This window comes from Homo sapiens, chromosome 5 (genome assembly GCF_000001405.40).
Source record: "Homo sapiens chromosome 5, GRCh38.p14 Primary Assembly".
Classification (NCBI taxonomy): Eukaryota; Metazoa; Chordata; class Mammalia; order Primates; family Hominidae; genus Homo; species Homo sapiens.
The window spans coordinates 33027660-33051980 of record NC_000005.10 but is presented as its reverse complement, the minus strand read 5'-3'; the positions used below and the strand labels follow the sequence as shown (position 1 = coordinate 33051980).

General features: G+C 40.5%; 1 long non-coding RNA gene across 1 annotated transcript in view; it reads left to right on the top strand.

Annotated features, from left to right (window-relative positions):
- The first annotated feature begins 2577 nt into the window (after nt 1-2577).
- The window catches only part of LOC105374715 (uncharacterized), a 41147-nt gene continuing 19403 nt past the window's right edge, over nt 2578-24321 (top strand). The window contains exon 1 of the long non-coding RNA NR_188269.1: nt 2578-2746. This is a non-coding gene — a long non-coding RNA (uncharacterized LOC105374715). The remainder of the gene's footprint in view (nt 2747-24321) is intronic.

Below are 24321 nucleotides of genomic sequence, written 5' to 3'. Positions count from 1 at the left end.
TTTGACTATGTATTTGCCTTCACCAGTGAGTTTTACACTTTTATATCTATTCACTATAGCAATTATCATCCTTTCATTTACATTTAAAGAACTCTGTTGAGCATTTCTTTTAAGACAGGTCTAGAAGTAATGAATTCTCTCAGCTTTTGCTTCTCTGTGAAGGACTTTATTCCTCCTTCATTTCTGGAGGACAACTTCCTTGGGTATAATGTTCCAGGCTTGAAATTTTTTTCTTTTGGCACTTTGAATGTATTATCTCATTCTCTCCTGGCCTGCAAGATTTCTGCTGAGAAATCCACTGGTAGTCTAATGGAGATTTCCTTATATGTGACTGGATGCTTTTCTCTTGCTGCTTTCTTTGTCTTTGACTCTCGACAGTTTGATTATATTGTGCCTCAGAGAGGACCTCTTTGGATTGAATCTATTTGGAAACTTTTGAGTTTTCTGGATCTGAATGTCCATATTTATCCTAAGACTTGAAGATTTTTCAGCAATTATGTAATTAAATATGCCTTTTTTCCCTTTCTCTCTCTTTTCTCTTTCTGGAACTCCCATAATGTGAAAATTTGTTCACTTAATGATGTCCCATAAGTCTCATAGGCTGTCTTCACTCTTTTCTTTCTGTTTTCATTTTTTTCTCTAACAGTCATTTCAAAAGAACTATCTTCAAGTTTATAAATTCTTTCTTCTGCTTGATGTAAATTTTTGTTTCTTTAGGGTCAGTTACTGGAGAATTATTGTGTTCCCCAGGTGGTGTCACATTTCCTTTGTTTGTTTGTTTCTTATGTACCAGCATTGATGTTCTGCATCTGGTGGTATAGTCATCTCTTCCAAACTTTAAAGAGTGGCTTTTATAAAAGACTTTCACTGGCATATGGGCCTGAGGGTGCCAGTTCAACAGAGTGCAATGGCTCTGATTCCATATAGGTGCAGTGGTATAATTACCATGCAGCTTCTTCATTTGTCATCAATGTTAGTGATGACTGTAAGTGTCTCAGTGGTCTAGGCTGCAGGGATTATGGCAGTGACAGTGACTGCTTAGGTTATTAGGGCAAGGGCTTTAGGGATCCTCATATTCTTATCTTTCTCACAGTGGGGAATCATAGCCATAAGAGGATCTCTCTTAGTATTGGGACTGACATGGGTCACAGGCAGCTATTGTAGCCATATAAGTGACAATGGCACTAGAATCCAGGGCATAGATATTCAGAGCAGCTGCAAAGCTGGTTTCCTGGGCTTGAGGTCTTATAAAACTAATGTAGCGCCAGGGACTTGAGGTGCCAGTTTACTCTCCAAAGCATGAGTGAATGCTGTTCTCCCACTAACCTGGGGTCTGCTGCTCTGAGGCACACCCCAGGAGCTTGGGCCCAAGGGGCTGTGATATAGCTGTGGTTCTGAGCCTGGTGGGGAGGGGCACAACACTGGCATAGCTCTGGGAAAGAATGAGTGCTCTGGAGGGCCCCAGGATGGCTTGCTATTGTGGTATAGTACTGGCTAAACTTCCAGGACAGAGAGGTGCAGTGGCTACTCACTCCCAGAGCAAGACACACTGTAGCAGGGTTTGGTCCCCAGGAGCAAGGCACAGCTGCAGTTCAGTACTGAGGATCCAAGAGAGCATAGTGACAGCTCGGACTCTGGGTGATAAAGTACCATGCTGTGGTGACTCTGGGCCCTAGGATGATGGGACATGACAGTAGTCCAGGCTCTGTGAGGTCAAGTGCAACAGCAGTAAGAACCCAGGAATGTCAATATGTCACTGTGGCTGTGCCCAAGGGGGAAGTGGGGTGATGGGGAGCAGTGCAGCAATGACTCCACTTCCCATAGAGGCAGGGTGCTCAGCAGTTCAGGCTATGGGACCCTAGTCCAGCTCCAGGTAGGCAGGAGACTATGACTGTTTGTCCTGGACTGTGGAGTGCCACAGTTCAGCCAAGGCTCTGATTCCCTAGGATGTGAGTCACCATGTCTGCTTGGCCCCGGAAAGCCTGGCTACATGAGTCAGTGGAGTCCCTGGATCACAGGGAGTGGGTCACTGCCTTAGCTGTGGTGCTAAGGGGCGCAACTGCTGTGGTGTGCAGCAGACCTGGGGTGCCTAGGAGCAAAGTGCTGCCTCAGCTGTGGCACCAAGGGGATGTGACTGCTCTGATGTGAAGGAGGCTGGGTAGTCCTGGGGGTGGGATGCTGCCTCAGCTGTGGCACCAGGGGTATGACTGCTCTGGAATTTCTAGGCTTCAAGTCACCAGAGGTGGGACATCGCTTCTGCTCAGCCCTAAGGAGAGGGTAAACCAGCGACTAGGATAGGGGACAAAGTCATTCTGTGGTAGCTTGGCCCTAGTGGTCAGGTTATAGCATCAGCTTTGCCCCATGATGGCTCGCTACTGAGCGTGGTATAGTGCTGGCTAAACCTCCAGGATGGAGAGATTCAGTGGCTACTCACTCCCAGAGCAGGCCACACCCTAGCAGTGGCTCAGATTCTGAGAGGGCACAGAGTAGTAGCAGCACAGGCCACAGAGGGGTGGGGCACAGTGTCTGCTTTTTCTCTGGGCGTAGCCCAGGATTTAGACTCCAGGGAGCTCCCTCAGTTGGGCTCAGAACCTGCGAGGATGGCAGCGGTGTCCAGCAGTGAAGACTGAAGGTGTCCACAGCTGTGATAGGGGCTTCTGGGTCCTCTTGCTTGCTTTTCTTCACAGGAAGAAGTCCCTCCTAGCTCCTAGGGGGTTTGATTGTGAGCGGCAAGGGTGTGGCAGAGGTGAGGTGTCTCCTTCCTTTCTCTATGTGATCATCCTGAGTTTCTGTGCTTTGCCCGATTTTAGCTGTTTCTTTCTTGTTCTCCAGTGCTCTCCTTTATTTTATTTTTTTTGTCAAAATATGGTTGTAAATTCATTGTTTTGGGCTTTTTGTGGTAAGGAAGGGACACTAGGAGGGTCTAAACAGCCATCTTGTTGACTTTACATCTCCAATTTGGGACTTTGGAATGGGGAAGCAATCTGAAGGGATTGAATAAGAAGCAGTACATTGATGTGATAAAAGTCCTTCTGCGTGCTATTCTGATTTTTAAAGCCAGCTGAATATACAAATTGTTGTTATTGTTGTCTTTTTAATTGAGACATCATAGTTGTACATATTTTTGAAGTACATGTGTCATTCTGATACATGTACACAATGAGTAAAAATCAAATCAGGGTATTTGGGATATCTGTCACCTCGAACTTTTATCTTTTTTGTGTTGGGAACATTACAATTATTTTCTTCTTGACTATTTTGAAATATACAATAAATTACTGTTAATTATAATTTTCCTGCTGTACTATCAAATACTAGAACTTATTCCTTTTATCTGACTGAATTTTTGTACCCATTAACTCAGGGGGCCCCAACCTCCAGGCTGCAGTCTGGTACTGGTCCGTGGCCTGTTAGGAACTGGGCTGCACAGCAGGAGGTGAGCAGCTGGTGAGCGAGGATTACTGCCTGAGCTCCGCCTCCTGTCAGATCAGTGGTGGCATTAGATTGTCATAGGATCATGAACCCTATTGTGAACTGCACATGTGAGGGATCTAGGTTGAGCACTCTTTATGAGAATGTAACTAATGCCTGATAATCTGAGGTGGAACAGTTTCATCCTGAAACCATCCCCCTCCCCTTCACCATCCATGGAAAAATTTTCTTCCATGAAACTGGTCCCTAGTGCCAAAAAGGTTGGGGACCACTGCATTAACCAACTTCTCTTCATCCCCTGCTCTCCCTTCCCAGCCTCTGGTTATCACAGTCCTACTCTCTACCTCTGCGAGATCCACTTTTTTAGTTCCCACATATGAGTGAGAATGTACAATCTTTGTCTTTCTGTGCCTAGCTTATTTCACTAAGCATAATGTCGTCCAGTTCCATCCATGCTACTGCAAATGACAGGATCTCATTTTTTAATGTCTAAATAATATTCCATTGTGTGTATATATATGTATATGCACACACATACACCATATTTTCTTTATGTGGATGGACACTTAGATATGCTCCATATCTTGGCTATTGTGAGTAATGCTGTAAATACATTGGAGTGCAGATATCTCTTGGATATACTGATTTTCTTTCTTTTAGATATATACCCAGCAGTGAGATTGCTGTATCTTATAATAGTTCTATTTTTAGTTTTTTAAAGAATCTCCATACAAATTCTTCATGTGACTGATTTTAGCTGTAGAAACTAAAGGGGAGCTGAATATCAAAGTGAGATCAATGTGCTGTAGAAAAAAAATACATTAATTGAACATATAAGGCCCAAAAACAATAATATCATGGGAATATAGACCCAAGGAATTTACAGAAATCTTGGAAAGGTTTAGTGTTTTCTTAGATTATAAAATTAGATTGAGGCAATTCTAAACATAGCTAAAAGGTTTAGAAAGCTCTAACTGATATCTGGGTTTCAAATCATTTTGTCAAATTCCACCCCCTACCATGTACAAAATAGAAATCTAAAGTTATTTAGTAGTATTTAACTAGATATAGTCAACCGATAGATTATTTTATATGAATTGACATATTCACAATATTAAGACTTTTCTTTCTTAATATTGTGAAGAAATATTGTGAAGGATATTGCAAGTCCTCCCCACCTACCCCCTTCCTGTGTCTTCCAGGAGAGTCAACAGAATGTGCCCTTTATCAAAGATGTGAGAAATAAATTCATGAAGGAAGCGCTCAGCATCCTTGAAGCATTTCGTGGTGGAAACACTTTTATTCATTGAGGAAGTAAACAAAAGTGTTATAAAGTTTTCTTCTGATAGAAGAAATTTATTACTGGATATTTTCTCTCTTGTAGTTGCAATTGTGAAGGGTATATTCTCATTATTTTTCTATTAGTGTTAAAAATAGAACTATTAATTTTGGATTAATTTTATAAATGACAAATTTTCCTGAATTATAGTATTATCGTTAAACTCTGCCACAACACAATAGATGGTTTCAAAAATTTTAACTCCATAAAATGTGGGATTATATTATTGTAAGGTTAATGAGCTATCTGGCCCAAGTCTATATATGGGAGTTCTAATGTCCACTTGTAAAATCCAAATGTATCCCAAGTCTTCATGGCAATTGCTATTCTCATTTACATATCAATGGGGACAATTTTGGACCTGGTGGCTGGCTGGAACTTACAGCACAGCAGCTGTGATTCCAAATCTCTTATTTGGTACCTGTTTTGTTAGCCAGATCTGGGAATATTGGCCCAGGAGAATTATTAGGACATAGCAACTCACTTTGTTTTCTCTGTATCTTTAGATAGGGCTTTCTGCCATATACATGTTTGTCCCTCCACTCCATGTCCCTCGACCTGAGAAGATAAGAACTTTTAGTCATTTGAGAATGGAGTCTTGAGAGGGAGCTAGAGCCAGTGGTCAACCAGGTGATATCTAAATTTTGATAATTCTGGGTTACCTAATGGCAATTTTCTTTGCTACAATTGGAGTCATTGTCTGATTAATTTTAGGGTAATTATATATTCTCTGTCATTATTAAGATCCATCTGTATTCTGGACATGTCAGCTAGTTAAGTTCAATAGAGATTTGGTGGGTACTAATCTCTACAATCTTTCAGGAAAGCAGTATTTCTCTTTGGCTTACTATTTCTGGAGATACAGGCAGTCCTGGTGGCCTGCACTTGACCTTTTCTATAATAATGGCCCTCACTTCATGAGTCAGGGAAGTAATATAAGGACTCTACCAACTGTGGAGTAATGTTTTCCTATTATTCATTCCAGAACTTCGGAAATAACCACAAGATCAATTCAGGGATCCACTGGGCACACTGCAATAGACCTGAGCCAAAATTTCACTGGTCCCCTGATTCTCCATAAGCCCCTGCTCTGACTGGTGGGCGACAGTGATGCTTGGGTCTCTGGGAATTAGTATCAGTTCAGAGCCAGTGTCCAGTGATCCTCCAGTAATTCTGATTATTTTAACTTCCTCAGTGCACAGCTGCATGGAAGGCTGGGAGGAAGATTAACCATATAGATTTTTGGCAGTATAGAAGAGTCCTTCAAAAGAACCTTGCACGTTCTTCAAGGGAACTTGGGCTCACCAACATTAAAGGGGCTCTGAGTCTGTGAAAAAGTTCATGCCTTGAAATTGATTGAGACCTAACTTTCTGTTTAAATGACTCAAATCAGACCTCTCTTCACTAGACATAGAGCTTTTCTGCCTATACAGAGTAAGTAAGAGTTTAGTAGTATAACTATCTATTCAGTTTTAGGAATGCCATTATCAACTAGCCAACGCTAAAGATCTCTGCAAGTCAGACTGTTCTGATTACTGCTTTGGCTTTATTGTTTATTACAGTAACCAAATTCACCCTGTCTGTGGCAAACAAGCGCCACCACTACCATCCCAGAGTGCCACCATCTGCACTGACTTGAGGAATTCCAGTTTGATGATAGCAGTTTTCACCCTAACTCTTGACCAGTAAAGAACCACCATGGAACGCTTCAAGGATGCTGAGTGCTTCCTTCATGAATTTATTTCCACATCTTTGATAAAGGGCATATTCTGTTAACCCTCCTCGAGGACACAGGAAGGGGTAGGTGGGCAGGACTTGCAATAATCCACTCTAGCACTCCAATCTCTTTTCTCTACTGTTTATCAGTCTCCTCTCTCTATTTGCACTACTTGTTTTGGCATTCCAACTTCATTATTCTAGGTTACTTTGTGGCCACGTTTTATTCAAGCAACCAAGCAAACTCTTAAAGCCATTTGCAGCCCTTTGAACTAACGCCTTGAAATTGGAATCTCTCCCAATGAAACCATATCAGTAGAACTATCTTTATGCAATTCTACATTTCTTCCACCTTGATTCCATGATTTGAATGTCCTCTCCAAACTCAAGTTGAAATCTAATCACCATTGTGGTTGTATTAATAAGTGGGACTATTAAGAGGTGATAAGGCCATGAAGGTTCCACCCACAATAGTGGCTTAATGTTTTTATCACAGGAGGGGGTTTGTTTTCACAAAAGTGTGTTGTTATAAAAGTGAGCCCAGCCCTCATTATCTCTTACTTTTACCCTTGCCCTTCTACAAGAGAAGAATGAAGAAGAAAAAAGAAGGGATAATGCAGCATGAAGGTCCTTGTCAGATACCAGTGCCATGCTCTTGGACCTCCCAGCCTCTAGAACTGTGTAAACTTCTTTTTTTGGTTTTTAAAATATAATATTTATTTTTTAAAGTTAACGTGTGCACTATAGGAAACTGAAAAACACAAGAAGCAAAGAAAAAACTCATCCACAATCAGAAGCTGTTTACAGTTTTCAAATGTCCTTCTAGGTCCTGTATGTGTTTAGACAAAACATCCAATTTTATGGCATTAACATCACACAAAATGTATCATGTTTTTTCACACATCATACATACTTACCAATTCAAAATCCCAAAGCTATATGAGTATTTTGATAACCAAGAATATATTACACTAACTCAATCTGTTAGAAAAAAAATGTAATCCTGTGTTTCTTGGAACAAAGACTTGATAGAAGACAAAATGGCAACAGTGTTCTAGATAAAAGCATTGGCAGAATTCTGATTAAAATACCGCATTCCCTTAAAGCTCAATTTAAAATGAAACACAAAGCAACAGGATATACTAAGTATAATGTTTTAAGAAAATTTATTATGAGACCTTACCATTAAAATATTAGCAAGAAGGTATTATTTCATTGATTACTTAATGTATTCCTATAGTCCAGCCAAAGACATGCACATACATCAATAGCTTTTGTCAGAATGTAAATAAGAACACATCTCATACTTCTCTCCCTTTGTGCTTCCTTTTGCCCCTCTACTGCCAACCTAATCCACAAGTTCTCACATATACTGCTCAGAAATTATTTAACAATCCCTTGTCCAAGATGCATCTTTTCTATCAATTATAACAAAAAGATGTTTACAAACTGGCTAATTCTCTAACTCTACTTTTTATCATGTACTGTCACCTCCAGACATCTATAAAGTCTAGATGTTGTAAAATAATAATGAATTTTGATCCCAGTAAACACAGGCACTTTACTAAATATGCACATATAGACCTATGGTTATAATCTAAAACCACCTTGTAGATATGGAGATACTAGCAAAGAGCCCTTCCATTCACCCTTCCTCTTCTCCATCTTCCAGCATTCCAGTGACTAAGTAAAGAACTATGCCTACCTCCAAGAGGTGGATTAAGAAAAGTCACTCCCAGAAGACAGTGCTTCCTAAAAACTAACAAAGATTCATTTATAAAGGAGTGATTTTACTACCTCTACTTATAACATACTTTGAGCATTAGGACTTGTTTATCCTTTAAACACAGCAATATTAACTAAAATGCACATAGAGTACAATGGTTCAACCCTCTGGACTAACCTAACTCATGGGCACATAATCCTTCTCTCCTCATCCTTTCTCCTCCCTCCACCTGCCACCACCCAGTGAACAGTCAGCATACTCTCCAAAACATCAACTTTAACAATCTCATATCTAAATGCAGCCACTCCCCAAATGCAACCACTCTTATGAAATAACAAAAAAAAATAAGTAAAGGATGTGACTTTAGCCCTTTACTTTTAACACACTTTTAAACATCTAGAAACACTGCGTATTTCAAATAGGACTTCAGTTTTCCACTCAAGCCAGCATTAAATAAGTGATGCACATACATAACAAAGACTATAATTTGAAAGTATCTTCTAAATAGGAACATTTGGCCAACAGCCCTTTCCCCTTCCACCTCTCTCAACCTAGTGGCCAGTCATAAGCATCTGTAATGTTTAGGAGGGATTTTAACATTTCATTTCCTAAGTGTTTTTAACAGCAGTCTTTCCTGTAAATTTTAAGACAAAATATATTTGATATATTAGTTTACTAACTCTTTTTATACACTAGCAACCTCTTTAACATCTAGAAAGACTAAATATTGTAAATTAGGACTTGTTTGTCCTTTATATACACTACATACACAGATAAGTAAAACAAAATGCATAGACATAAGAGACAATGGTTAATTGTGCCTCACTACAGGTGCACTGGCATACAGCTCATTGCATTTGTCCTCCCTTCTCCCTTGAACCAGTGCACAAACACAATGTATATTACTCAAAAGGTTTGGCCATCCTTGCCCCCACTGAAAAAAGCATTTTATATGAATTTTTTAAAGATATTTACAAAATGTGTTCTTTTACCTCCTCTACTTTCAACATATATCAGGCACTCCTGAACATCCATGAAGATATTTCAAAAAGTTCTTATCATTGTCAATTATACATACAGTAGTGAGGAATAAAATGCACATACAAAACAATGGTTATAATATGAAAATGTCTTCTAAATATGACTAGTCTGGCATGAACCTTCTTCTTTCCTTCTTAAGTCTTCTGCTCCACGTCCTCCATCCTCTAACCCACTGAACCAACATGGACATGTGTGGTTCCTTGTGTCACTTCCAGAGGCGGTCTAACAACTCTATTTCAAAAAGTCACTTTCAGAATACCCTTAATTTCTATGATATTTTTAAACAAGTGGGCTTTTACAGGATGTGTAGTTTTCTAACTCTATCATATGTCAGCAACCTCTTTTCATCTAGAAAGGCTAGATGTAGCAAATTTTTCTTTTAAAAGGTTGGAAGGATTGTTGAGAGCATCTTTTTCATATTATATACACAGCCTGTCTATAAATGGCCAATCTTCCCAAACGGTGGTGGGCCTTTCCAGTGGACCAACTGTGGCATGTCATTCTACCATTTCTCACTTCCCACATTAAGGTCTGGTGGAATGAAGACCAACCACAACCACTGGATGACTGCCAGCTGCTAACTGTTCCACCCATTTTCATGTGGGGCTTCATTTACCTTTCAGGTGTTCAGCCCTTTGTTCCTCATTGTCAGGACTAGGTTGGACTCGCTCTTAGGACAAAGCGGTCATGCCAGGACCCAGAGCTACATGGCTCTAGGCCTGAGGAGGTGGCCTAGCTTGGTGCAAACACCTGCCTCCTTCTGCCCCACACCATGGTGGCCCTCAATGCATGTGGGGCACCTTCCCACCCTGCCACACTTGCTGCCACCCAAAGGTGCTACATCCAAGTGCAGCAGGGCTGGACAAGGAGACACTGGCCGCTGGTGGGGCCAGGCCCGGAGAGGCCACTGGTGCCATCAAGTCACCAAAGTGGGGTGGAGAGAGGTTCACAGCTGCTTCAAGGCCTAGGCCTGGCCGGTGGGTGCCACAGTGAGAGCTCCAGGTGTCTGCAAGGCAGAGGCTGTGCCTGTCCCAGGTCCCCAGCTTACCTGCCTGTGAGGGAGCTTCCCTGCTTGACTTCTCACCATACTCTCTGCCAGACTCTAAACTTCTTCATGTATTATCATTTCTGTGGTATTCTGTTACAGCAACACAAAGTGACTAGGATAACCATAAGATCCATTCCTACACACATTCTCTGGGTTTCTATTGATAGAAATTGGCAAAATCATGCGATACTTTTTGCTGTGTATTGTGGCTCCTCTCAGATCATCCTCTTTATCTCATCCTTAGACTTGCTGACAATGGTGGCAGGAGGCAGACAGGCTCCTAGGCGGGAAGGAGTGGGTCCCCAGTGAGGCCCAAACCTTAAGCCAGAGATGGCCTGAACCCTGGGGGCTGGGCTGCCAATTCTGGGTGGATTTCATGGCCCAGTGTGATAACTTCCTTGATGCCTTTCAGCTAGTCAGATAGTGCTCTTCCTGGGCCCACCCATGGACCAATCAGCATGCACTTCCTCGATTCTGAGCGCATAAAAACCCCAGACTCAGCCACATGTCAGGACTACCTGCCTGTGCATAGGAGCTACTCCCTTCAGGTCTCCCCTCTGCTGAGAGCTGTTCTGTCACTCAATAAAGCACTTCTCTGCCTTGCTTACCCTCCAGTTGTCTGTGTAACCTCATTCTTCCTGAACATGGGACAATAACTCGGGACCTGCTAAATGGCAGGCATGAAAATGTCTGTAACACTTTCCTGGCTGGCTTGCTGAGCTGCGGGCAGTAACATGCTCCCATTTGTGGGACTGTGGGAGTGAAGTGTGACCCTTCTGGGGGTCCAGACCTTGGGACTTCCTGAGCCAGTACTGTAACACTATAGCCCTCCCATCTTTAACTGGTGTCAGGAAGCTGCCCCATGTAATGGGAAGCAGCAGCAGAACCGGGCCAGCCCAGGAACCATGGGCCAGAGTGAGTCAGTGGGACTGAACAAGCTGTAACACAAACTAGCTAAAACACACCCACTTCGTCATTCAACATGCTGTGGGTGGTGGGAACAAGAGACCTGTAACATGCCCACCCCCACCCCTTGGGGTTCCAGTGTTGCTGATGTCTTCGAGTTTTCAGGCACCACTGCATTCTCCTCATCCAGATGCCAGTGTCCACAGTAGAAGCTGCTTGAGGTACGCCTGGTTTAGCCACAGCCTCACACAGAACCAGTGCCTGGAGCTACCTACCCCACCGCGGCAGCCAGTGTACCTGGCTGTGTGCAGTGGCCAGACCCTGCACTTGCTTCCTCACATACCCCTCACCTCTTCACTCCTGGCTTGCCCTCAGTAGGTGTGGGATCCAGGCCTGTAGCACAAGCCAAGTGCATCCTGACAGGTTGAGTGGGCGGGACAAGCCCAGCAGGCACAACAAGCAAAACTCAAGCAGAGGCACTGCTGGCAACAGAGGTTGGTGAAGTGACCCCCCAAAGGATTGTGTGACACTGAGACTTGTATCTAGTTACAGTAGCAGAAGCAATGACAGGTGGTAGGGAAATGTTCTGAGGAGAATCAGAGCCTCCTCCAGTTCTTCATGCAAGGGGGACAGCTCTTCACACAGGAGTGGAGGGCTACTTCTACTGCCAAAGACATTTATTCTGTAATTGAGGTACACATGGTATTAGACTTTGCATTTGGTTTTCAGAAATCTCAGCCTTGCAGCCCCAGGAGATAAGTATCCTTGGGAGTAGTCATTGAAGTAGTACTGTGAACTGGGAACTTAAAGCCCTTCATTCATAATTTTGTTTCCCTAATTGCTCCAGCACACTTTTTATTTAAATGCTCTAGAGCAGAAAATATTTTGTCACCCACAACCCCTGCTTTCTCTTTCTGTAGACATATTATTACAGGTATGTCCAGGTGATAATTTGAGTAACTGTTTTGCCACTGCATTTAATAGACTATTAATGCTGTCTATACCACTGGAAACAGTCATTAATGCCTTTAAAGCAGACAGACCAGAGCACTGAGAAAACCCAGAGTCACTTTAGCAACTAATATTTAAGACCGTGTTTCTTAGAAACTGCTTTCAATACTATTTTTAATTTCAAACTTTTATTTTTTAATTGAGAAATGAAAAATATATGTATTTATTGTGCACATGTCATTTTGGAATATGTATACATGGTGGAAGGGCTAAATTGAGCTAATTAACACATGCATTACTTCATATACTTACCTTTTTTGTGACAGTTCTAAATTCTGTATCATTCAGGTTTCAGTCAGAGAAACAGAACCACCAAGATGAGTGTATGTGTGTGTGTGTGATTAGAGAGCAGTAAAGTAGGCACTTTCCAGCCTTAATTTCTTTTGAAACTTTTTCATGAGGTAGGGTGTTGGAGGGACTGGAGAAGAGTTCTATAATATTATTATCAAATCTGTCTTTTTGTAGGCCTGTGTCCTTGGGCTGGAAACTTCACAGGTATTTCTTAGCTTTTGTCTCACTTAGATGAGACAGAAAGTCTAGAGAGGACTGAAGTTGGGTAATTGCCCTTCCCCTAGGTGGGACTGAGCTCTGGTAAAGTATTTTTCTATGAGTACTTTGTGGTGAAGAATGTTCTGAGTGTGTTTCAGGTGGTTATTTTTACCTTCCTTCTGGGCTCCGCACTGTGGGAACCTGGTAGTGTTTCTGGAGGTAAAAGCCATGAAAGAGCAGGAGCCCCTTAACACTATAACCCCCAAGAGTTTCTCTCTTCCACACTCAGCCTCCACCAATTTGCCCAATCACTATTTAGTTTTTCCTACCAGTTTAAGGGTTCAGTGGCTTCTACTTCAGGTAAACTAATCTCAGCTGTAATTCTCTGTGTTTGTCTGTCTCTTCAGATTGTAGGATGACAGTTTGCCTTGAAACCTCATTGACAGATCCAAGAAGAGTCAATGACCTGCATTTTGTTCAATGTTTTTCTTCTTGTAAGGACAAGAGTGTCAACTTCCAAGCTCATTATGTATTGGAGTTGAAACTGGAAGTTGAAGTCTTTTTTTAAAAAAAAAAGTCCTTTAAAACCAGTATTTTCAATAGACTATGTCTCAGTAGTGATCATTTTCTTCAAATCATCCTCAAACAATACAGTGCATTTGCAATTGGAAAATTTAGTTTTTTTTCTTTTTATCTTTGCATTTTTCCCATCATTTCTACGTACTTAGGGAAACAATTTATTCACATGTCACCTCATCTCCTTTATTAGTTCACCATAGCTTCATTTTTTTTTTTTTTTTGAGACAGAGTCTTGCTCCATCACCCAGGCTGGAGGGCAGTGGCTTGGTCTCAGCTCTCTGCCCGCTCCACCTCCTGGATTCACGCCATTCTCCTGCCTCAGCCTCCTGAGTAGCCGGAATTACAGGCGCCCACCACCACGCCCAGCTAATTTTTTGTATTTTTAGTAGAGATGGGGTTTACCGTGTTAGCCAGGATGGTCTCGATCTCCTGACCTCGTGATCCGCCCGCCTCAGCCTCCCAAAGTGCTGGGATTACAGGTGTGAGCCACCGTGCCCGGCCCACCATAGCTTCTCTTTACTTCCTTTTACCATTTATCTATGTTAGGCATTCTGTTAGTATTTTCTTGAGATTGTCACCAACTTGGTCTTTTGCTACAATCACTTATTTGTTGTTACTTAAAAATAATTAATTGGTTCTTAGTTTTATTTTGTCCCCAGTTCATTCTCCAGTCACATTTTTACCTCATTGTGTCACCATCATTTCATCTTGAATTTCTTCTTTCAAACATTTTATCTTTTCCTTAATTTTATTTAATTAATAAAGATTTTTTTATTACCAATGTCTTTCATCCAGACTGGATAATTTTTGTAGGTTGCAGAATATATGCTTACATGTTATTTGTTTTTTATTGTCAAAATTTTATTTTCTTTTGCTGTATTGTTTTGTTGTAGCTGCTTCACGTTTTCTACTCCCTCCACTCATTTCCCAAATATATGGGTAGATTCTCCTTGCCTACCTTTCCACTTTATCTCTGGTCCTTCTTGTAAATCCCCCTTGATCTTATTGGCTGGATTTTATGTTAGAATTTTTAGTTACCTGGAGAAGGGGAGTGGTAGCATGGAGGAGAGAGGGACTAGAGCTATGCATCAGTTCTATTCAAGGATTTTATCTTTAATCTCTTTCTTTGGAAGTTTGTTAAACCTTTTGTACTAGATCTTATACTGTCTATTTGTGGGGGAACTTTGGATCATTTCCCCATCTTAGGGTGAGTCCACCAGTTTCGCTGCACTGAGTCTTTGGATATATGAAAACAACAATTGCTTAACTCACCATTTTCCAGCCATTTCTCCTCTCATTTGAGGGAATGTTGGAGATAAACTCAAAATTTAGTGGTTTTCTATACAATGTGATGCTTTTTAGCTACTATGAAAAAGTATCCAGTGGTTTGGGGAGTGGCAGTTTCCTCTTATTCCAATGTTTTCTCCTGCCAAACTTTTATCTATTATAGACAGTCAGTTCCAGATAATTATTCCTGAGGTATTTCTCTCACATTCCTTTAAGCCAGGAAAAAACAAAATTGTGACTCTCCTTAGTTTTTCTGGCTTTTCATTCACCTCCCCTTCAGTCATCTTTCCTGGGCCATCAACAAGGGAATTTCTGTAATTATATATTTACTCTACCATATTTCTTTATAAGTCCTTTAATATAATTCAATATTTGGTGGTGATCAAGTGACCCAGTGTTTCTTAGAGGAGAATTGTTATGAAGATTAGCCTAATGAGTACATATCACAATGTGATTTATCTTCTAGTGTGAGAACTTAGATAATGGGAAAAAGAGGCTGAGTAATTGAAATCCATCCATGCATTAAGGGTACTGAAAGGATTTTAGTCATTACTATCAACTTCTTTGACTAAATTTGCTACTAGTCTCATTGATTCTGCTAAATTCATTATAAAGACAGAATGAGAAGTACAAGGGTCAGATAGGAAATAAAAGAAGGATTGTATAATTCACATGTCTGATAGTTACCACTCCTCTACACCCGCCAGCCCCATGTCCAGATATATGAAAGCTGACCTGTGTCTCAGAAATGACAACTTACCCCAAAAGACATTACATTTTGTATTAGTCCGTTCTCACACTCCTATAAAGAACTACCTGAGACTTGATAATTTATGAAGAAAAGAGGTTTAATTGACTCACAGTTCTGCACTTTTAACAGGAAGCATGGCTGGGAGGCCTCAGGAAACTTACGATCATGGCGGAAGGTGAAGGGGAAGCAAGCATGTCTTACCATGGTGGAGCAGGAAAGAGAGAGAGAGTGCAAAGTGGGAAGCGCTACACACTTTTAAACAACTAGATCTCATGAGAACTCATTCACTATCACAGGAACAGCAAGAGCAAAGTCCACCCCCATGACTCAATTACCTCCCACCAGGCCCTCCTTCAGCACATGGGGATTATAGTTTAACATGAGATTTGGGTGGGGACCCAGCCAAACCATATCAATCTTGGAGATAAAGAATCTTTAAAACCAATATAGTGAGATTAAATACAGGCAAAACTATTAAGTTGGTGAAGTTTGCCATCTGAGCCACTTAATCTTTTGTTTCCTGGATCACAGCTTCCTCAAGCTGCTCATAACTATTCATATGCCCCTTGGCAAAACCTGTTCTCAATTTTTTTTACTCTGAGGAATAAATAACTGATGGAGGACCCCACACAGGGGATATTTGCATTTAATCAGGATTTAATGATTAAGTAAAAGTTAGACTGTGGAATGTGGAATTTTATGTATCAGCAAGCTTATAAGGAAGGATTTCTTTTCACTTTGGGGCCTCTTGGGTCCCTGAAATCACATTATATGGCTAGTGCCTATTCTATTCTCTGCATAAGGAAACCTCTCAGTGGTTATTAACTTCTTTTCGAGTTCTCCACTCTGCTGAAAGTTAGCAAAGTTTTGTGTACTCATTCAGCAAATATCAACTTATTGATATCTGTTTAATACAGCAAAGGGAAAAAGGTTAGAAATATTTTTCAATAATTTGTTATTTTACCAGTTTTGACCTTCAGATTGTGTGAGGCCTTACAATACCTTACTACTTTTTAAGGTCTTATACACTAAAATCTTAAACATTAGGCTGGGGGCCGGGCGCGGTGGCTCACGCCTGTAATCCCAGCACTTTGGGAGGCCGAGGCGGGCGGATCACGAGGTCAGGAGATCGAGACCATCCCGGCGGCTAAAACGGTGAAACCCCGTCTCTACTAAAAATACAAAAAATTAGCCGGGCGTAGTGGCGGGCGCCTGTAGTCCCAGCTACTTGGGAGGCTGAGGCAGGAGAATGGCGTGAACCCGGGAGGCGGAGCTTGCAGTGAGCTGAGATCCCGCCACTGCACTCCAGCCTGGGCGACAGAGCGAGACTCTGTCTCAAAAAAAAAAAAAAACATTAGGCTGGGACTAATGTTTAAGCCCCGGGGCTTTCTTTGACTGAACATTTGCCACGACTAGACAGAATATCTAGAATCCTTACATAGCTCAACTACTTTGGAGCCTTTTCTCATATTATCAAGAAATAAAGGACTCAAACATTGCCCAAATCATACTTGAACCCTAGTCTAAGTATGTTTAAAACTTCTGGTTCAAGCTAGGAAGCATTTATGCAATCCTGTGCAAGTACTATCAAGTGCTATGAGGAAATAGATTTATTTCATGCAACAAAACTTAGATAATTGCTCATGTCTCCTTATGGTCCCATGAGCATGTCAGGGTTACGGATCTTTTATCACAGTGGAGATAAGAGTGCAAGCAGGGAAAGGCAGGTCATAAACAAACAAAAAGTAAAATATACAATGTGTCAGATGGTCTTAAGTATTATGGGAAAAATGAAATGAGGAAATGGGTTGGGAATGCTAGGGTTGGGGGATAGTTGCATTTTAATCTAAGGTAGTTAGGGAAGGCCTCTTTGAGGTGACAGTTGACAAAAATTCAAAGGAGATTTAGGACTGAGCCACTCAGATACTTGGGGGAAGAGTGTACCAGGCACATTGAACAAGTGCAAATACTTTTTCAAATAAGAGTGTACCTGGTTTATTTTAAGCACAGAAAGGAGTTTAGCATTAGCAGAAAGGATAAGAGAAGTGGGGGAGTAATGGGGAATGAAGTCACAGAGGTAAGAGAATGGATGGGAGATCTCGTGGGGTCTTATAGACCAGTTGTAAGGATTTGACTTACTCTAGTTTGAGTGAAGTAGAAGGCTATTAGACATTCTGAATAGAAGTCTGACATGGTCTAACTTAGGTTGTTCAAAGTATCACTTTAGTTTCTGTCTTGAGATTAAACCATAAGAGGGCAGGGGTGGAAACAGCATATCTAGTGTAACATTCCAGGCAATTGGTTATTAGAATTGTGGTGGTAGTGTCGAAAGCAGGGAGAAGGAGTGGGATTCTGGATGTATGTGGAAGCAGAGTCAACAAGATTTGCTAAAGGATAGGATGGTGGTCAGGAGGGGAAAAGAGCACTTAGGGATGTCTCCAAGATTTTTGGCCTGCATTTGGTAGGAGATGGTAGCAATTGAGATAGAGAGGATTGTTGGAGGAATGAACTTTGATGAACAGTCAGGAGTTCAGTTAGGAGATACCTAGAAGAAAATTGAAATTCAAGACTGAAATTCAAGACTAGAGATTTAAAAAAACTGGCTGTCATCAGCACATAAATGGTATTTAAGAGAAGAAATCTAAGCCCTCCAGACATCGTCACTCAGTCTTCTTTGTCCTCTGGCTTGTTGTTGGATTTCGTCAATGGGTGGCCCTTTCAGGAGAGAAGAAAGAAGAGAAAAGCAAGGTCTGGGTTTTTTCCCCATCAGCTCATGTTAGGCAGCCCCTCTGCTGTAGTGAGAGGTTTCACTGGGTTCTCGTCACTGCTCCTTCCCAGCCCCTCCAGGCCTGGGGCTGATGGAGTGTCAGTTGCTTCTCACTGTTACCAGCCCTGGCTGCTGTATCCTCTCATTGGCTCCCTTGACCCTGTCCACTCCGTTTAACTCTCTTCAGTTACTGCTTCAGAGTATAACATCTGTTTCCTACCAGGACCCTAATGACATAGCAGATCTGGTAAAAATATTTGGAAAGCAGTGGCACTTGAGTCCTGATGCCACATCTATTGTCGATTTGTGATAACCATTTTGATAATTGATAATTATCATGATTCCTATATGGTTATTGAAATTATTATTTTTATTATAATTTAATTTAATTAATTTTGTTCTATCTTACAACAACATGTATTAGAAGCATGATGTAAGGAAGAAGCAGTTTAGGATTGTTGTATGATCTTGGGAAAGTCATATCACTTCCTGAACTTAAGTTTCTGGATGAGTTAAGTGAGCATGGTAACTACTGCCTCTTAATAAATAATAAGTTCTTAAATATTAAGCTGGTACCTCCTCTAAGGTCCTTGAAGAAAGTTGTTAGAGGAGCATAAAAGTTAACTGCCTACTTTTAAATTTGTCTAAAGATATAATCCTGGTGCCTAAAACCCACTAATGCTAGCCAGGGTTAGAAGAGATGGTTAGGAGAAGGGGAAGGCTGTCAGTACCTGCAATGTCAAAAAGCATGTCATTTTAAACAGTTTTCAGTACTTTTTTTTCTCAGAATAAATTCTTTTGGTCAAAGCCACATGAGGAAGGGCAGAAAACAATCTAAAGACTTTGGAATGGCAATCCAAATATTGACAGTTACCAGCATGTTTCCTCCGGGTCTCCCCGCTGAAAGCTACATCTAGGAATGATACACAGTCACGCAGCCCTGGAGTTTGGCAGCTGAGCACCTCTGGATCTCTGGCCTTCAGCACCCGGAGAATAATTCTTAAATCTACAAACTCTCTCGTGCAGCATTTTTTTCCCTTCTCCTCAAATAATATCCAATTACTGAGTGCTGTGCTGGGAGAACCTGGGGAAATGCTAGAAGGAAACGCAGCTGAGAGCCACTGTGGTTTGACAGCTCTCCAGCTACTTTGAAAATATTTTGGCAAAAACAAGATTTTAAGTAAAACTGTTTCCTTTGGTAACATACCCAAAACTGCAGGTTTTACATTTTCAGTACTATGATTTGGGCCAAAAGTAGAAAAAGAAAAAAAAAAACGGGGAGGTAAAAGCTGTTCTTGAGGGAGGAAGATAGAATCTAAGAAAAAGGGGAATGCTTTGCATGGGATGCAGATATGAGAGTAGGAGGGAAACAGAGGGAAGCATATTGAACTTTCTCTCCTCACTTTTTTTCTGTACTAAAGAATTTCCCCGTCAAAACACAAGGCTCTTTTTTTGCCTTAAGATGGCCAGGAAAGGATTCACTGGGGAATCACTAGGCTAGGATTTGTGTTACTGCTTATTATAGGATGAGCAATAGCAACTGGGGAGGGTCAAACCACATGGGTGTTTCATTTCAGGCCATCCTACATTACAGCAGATGCAGGAGGGGATAAAATGGATAATATTTATCTCAACCCTGTTAGTTGGTCCTTGGAGAATATGCTCATTTATTCTTGCTTCATTTTTTTTTCCTGATCGCCTCCATGCATAAAATCCCTGTGTTTTTGAAAATACCAGCTCTCTCCTATCCCAGGACCTTCGTAGATACCTTCTGTACCTAGAATGTTTTGCCCTCAGACTCCACCATTCTTTTCAGGGAAGCCTCACTCTATCCTACAAGTGACGTTAGCATTTTATGTTGTCTTTATAGCCACCTGTTTACATATTCCCCAACACTCTGTAAATTCTACAAAGGCCTGTTCACTGTCACATCCCCAGGGCATGGCATAAGGTGAGTGTTCAATTTAAAAGGTTAGCAAGTTATCTGACTAAACCTGCTTTTCTTTAGTTTCCTTTTCTTATTATACTTCTTTCCTAATAATCTAGTTCTCCTTTGTTTTTGTTTTCCCTTATATTGCTCTTTTTTTCTATTACCCTTTCTCCGAGACTTCTCCTTATGTAGAGACTTTGCCTAAAGCAAGGGTTTGTAGGAAATATACTCTGAACTGTATAATGTTAATACCAGAAAGTGCTTCAGAGATTATGTAATTAAACCCTCCTCCAATTTTATAATGGTGCTCCATTGTCCAAGGTCACACAGCTAGTTGGGAACAGAATTTAGATTTGAACCCTGTAATCCTGACTCTATGTTTAGTCTTCCTTTCATTATTGTCACTCTATACAAAGTGTTAGACAAAAGGGTGAGGTTCCAAAAATACTAATCATCTCTCTACAACACAAGCTCCATATCATCCGAGAGTTTGACATCTCATTGGAAAGAAAACACTGCTCCCTGGGTCCTTCCCAAAAAATTGCTATTATAAGAATAAAACTTAGGTTCAAACTCTGTCCTTAACTTCCCTCAGACTCAGGAATATCCATTTATCTTAGCATGCTAAGGGAAAGAGGCAAGTTTGATATTTAGTTCCTAAATAAATGTTTATGTGAAAAACAGTGAACCCAAAAGTTCAAAACCCTATTAAAAAGAGAGAATAGGAGAGATAAATATTAATAATGATAATAATAACCAAAGCTGACATTACTAGCACTGCTCTAGCAACCTGTCATAAATGACATATATGTACTGTTAATCCCCCATCAACCTGTAAGTTAAATACTATTATCCCTACTTTACCAATGAGGAAACTGAAGCATAAAACAACTGTTCAGTATATTTAGCTAGTAAATGAAAAGCTGAGATTTGAACCTGAGCAGCTTGCTCCAGCGTCAACACTCTGTGCAACACCTAGATAAAGATTCTAGCCCCAAAACAGAGATAAGTTTTTACAACCTCTATAAAAGATCCCACTGGTATAACCAAGTTCTACCAGGCCTGAAATAATCTGAAGTCAAAACCTTGGGAATGGACAGTCTTTCACAGTTGAATACGTAACTGGCTGCCCTGTTCATGAAGTACTGAACTGATTCTGAGAATTTTGTTTTATCTGTCTGTTCTCTAAATAATTTTCACTTATTGCCAGTTCTTTTAATTCAGGCAATATCCTTTCTCACAAGCTGAAGAACCTATAAAGGGCATGATGGTTTCAATAGGAGTGAAAGTCAAGAGGCTCCTCAGGAAAGGGTTTTGTTACTGCTTCACTGTGGCACTCAGAATGAAATCCAAATTTCACCCACACAGCCTTACAATGAGGGCCTTGCTCATCATTTGATGTGATCTCCCACCACTCTCTGTGCTGTAGCCATTGCAGTATTCCTCCAGCCTCTTGAACTCACAACTGTGCCCTGCCCCCAGGACCTGTGCTCTTGCTCTTATACGGCAAATGGCTTCCAGAAAAAAAATAGTGCAGTTATAGAACAAATTTTTCATGCCAGAAAGTTCTTTCAGGCAGTGTTGGATTGAGGAATATAAGGGCTAGAAGAAAAGTCAGCATGAAGGAAGTCTTTCAAGGCAGTAAAGGGGCTTTAAGATTAGATCAGGACTGATTCTTTGCTCTTCCACTTATTATCTCTGTGTTCTTCTATAAATTAGTTAATCTCTTTATCCGTAGTTTCTGGCAGAGAAATTGGATGAATATATGTATCCATTTAATCACCTAAAGAGGTATGTGTACATGTGTATTATGTATTTTGCCACAAATTCTGTACAACTGCTAGTCCTCGATTAAGGGAAAATAGCAGCAATATCAATAGAATGTAAATGGGATGAAAGCCACTCTGCTAAGGATTAAGATTCAAATAGGTGGTCAGTATGTGCATGCGTAATATGTGTATGCAGAAGGCCTAGACCGCACCTTAAAAGGTCGGGAAGATAAAAGGGCAGATTTTACAAGTAACAGTTTTAGGAGGAGTTTTTTTGTTTGTTTGTTTTTAAATTTATTTTTATTTTTTATTTCTATAGGTTTTGGGGGAGCAGGTGGTGTTTGCTTATATGAATAAGTTCTTTAGTGGTGACTTCTGAGATTTTAGTGCAACTATCACCCAAGCAGTATAGACTGTACCCAATTTGTAGTCTTTTGTCTCTCAACCACCTCCCACCCTTTACCCTGAGTCCCCAGAGTCCACTGTATCATTCTTATGCCTTTACATCCTCATAGCATAGCTCCCACTTATAAGTGAGAACATGTGATGTTTAGTTTTCCATTCCCGAGTTATTTCACTTAGAATAATGGTCTCCAATTTCAACCAAGTTGCTGTGAATGCCATTATTTCGTTCCTTTTTTATGGCTTAGTAGTATTCCATGGCATATATATATATATATATATATATATATATATATATATATATATATATATATATACCACAATTTCTTTATCCGCTCCTTGATTGATGGGCATTTGGGCTGGCTTCTTATTTTTGCAATTGTGAATTGTGCTGCTGTAAACATATGCATCCAAGTATCTTTTTCGTATAATGACTTCTTTTCCTCTGGGTAGATACCCAGCAGTGGGATTGCTAGATCAAATGGTAGTTCTACTTTTAGTTCTTTGAGGAATCTCCACACTGTTTTCCATAGTGGTTGTACTAGTTTACATTTCCACCAGCAGTGTAAAAGTGTTCCCTTTTTACCACATCCCCACCAACATTAATTATTATTATTTTTTGATTATGCCCATTCTTGCAGGAGTAAGGCGGTATCACACTGTGGTTTTGATTTGCATTTCCGTGATCACTAGTGATGCTTAGTACTTTTTCATATGTTTCTTGGCCATTTGGTACATCTTCTTTTGAGAATTGTTTATTCATGTCCTTAGCCCACTTTTTTATGAGATTGTTTGGTTTTTTCTTGCTAATTTGTTTGGTTTCCTTGTAGATTCTGGATATTAGTCCTTTGTCGGATATATACATTACAAAGATTTTCTCCCACTCTGTTGGTTGTCCATTTACTCTGCTGTTTCTTTTACTGTGCAGAAGCTTTGTAGTTTTATTAAGTCCCATCTATTTATCTTTGTATTTGTTGCATTTGCTTTTGCATTCTTGGTCATAAAGTCTTTGGGTAAGCCAATGTCTACAAGGGTTTTTCCAACATTATCTTCTAGAATGTTTATGGTTTCAGGTTTTAGATTTAAGTCCTTAATCCATCTTGAGTTGATTTTTGTATAAAGTGAGAGATGAGGATACAGTTTCATTCTTCTACGTGTGGCTTGACAATTATCCCAGCACCGTTTGTTGAATAGGGTCTCCTATCCCCACTTTATGTTTTTGTTTGCTTTGTCAAGGATCAGTTGGCTGTTAAGTATTTGGCTTTATTTCTGGGTTCTCTATTCTGTTCCATTGGTCTGTGTGCCTATTTTTATACCAGTACCATGCTGTTTTGGCGACTATGACCTTATAGAATAGTTTGAAGTCAGGTAATGTGATGCCTCCAGATTTGTTCTTTTTGCTTAGTCTTGCTTTGGCTATGTGAGCTCTTTTTTGGTCCATATGAGTTTTATAATTGTTTTTTCTAGTTCTGTGAAGAACCACGGTGATAGTTTGATGGGAATTGCATTAAATTTGTCGATAGCTTTTGGCAGTATGGTAATTTTCACAATATTGGTTCTACCCATCCATGACCATGGGTTGGGTTTCCACTTGTTTGTGTTGTCTATGATTTCTTTCAGCAGTGTTTTGTAGTTTTCCTTGTAGATGTCTTTCACCTCCTTGGTTAGTTAGGTATATTCCTAAGGATTTTTTTTACAGCTATTGTAAAACAGGTTGAGTTCTTGATTTGATTCTCAGCTTGGTCTCTGTTGGTGTAAAACAGAGCTACTGGTTTGTGTACATTAGTTTTGTATCCTGAAACTTTACTGAATTCATTTATCAGTTCTAGGAGCTTTTTGAAGGAGTCTTTAGAGTTTTCTAGGTATACAATCACATCATGAGCAAACAGCAACAGTTTGACTTCCTCTTTACTAATTTGGATGCCTTTTATTTCTTTCTCTTGTCTGATTGCTCTGTCTAGAACTTCCAGTACTGTGTCAAATAGAAGTGGTGAGAGTGGGCATCCTTGTCTTGTTCCATTTCTCAGAGGTAATACTTTCAACTTTTCCTCATTCAGTATTATGTTGGCTGTGGGTTTGTCACAGATGGCTTTTATTACATTAAGATATGTTAGGAGGGAGTTATCTT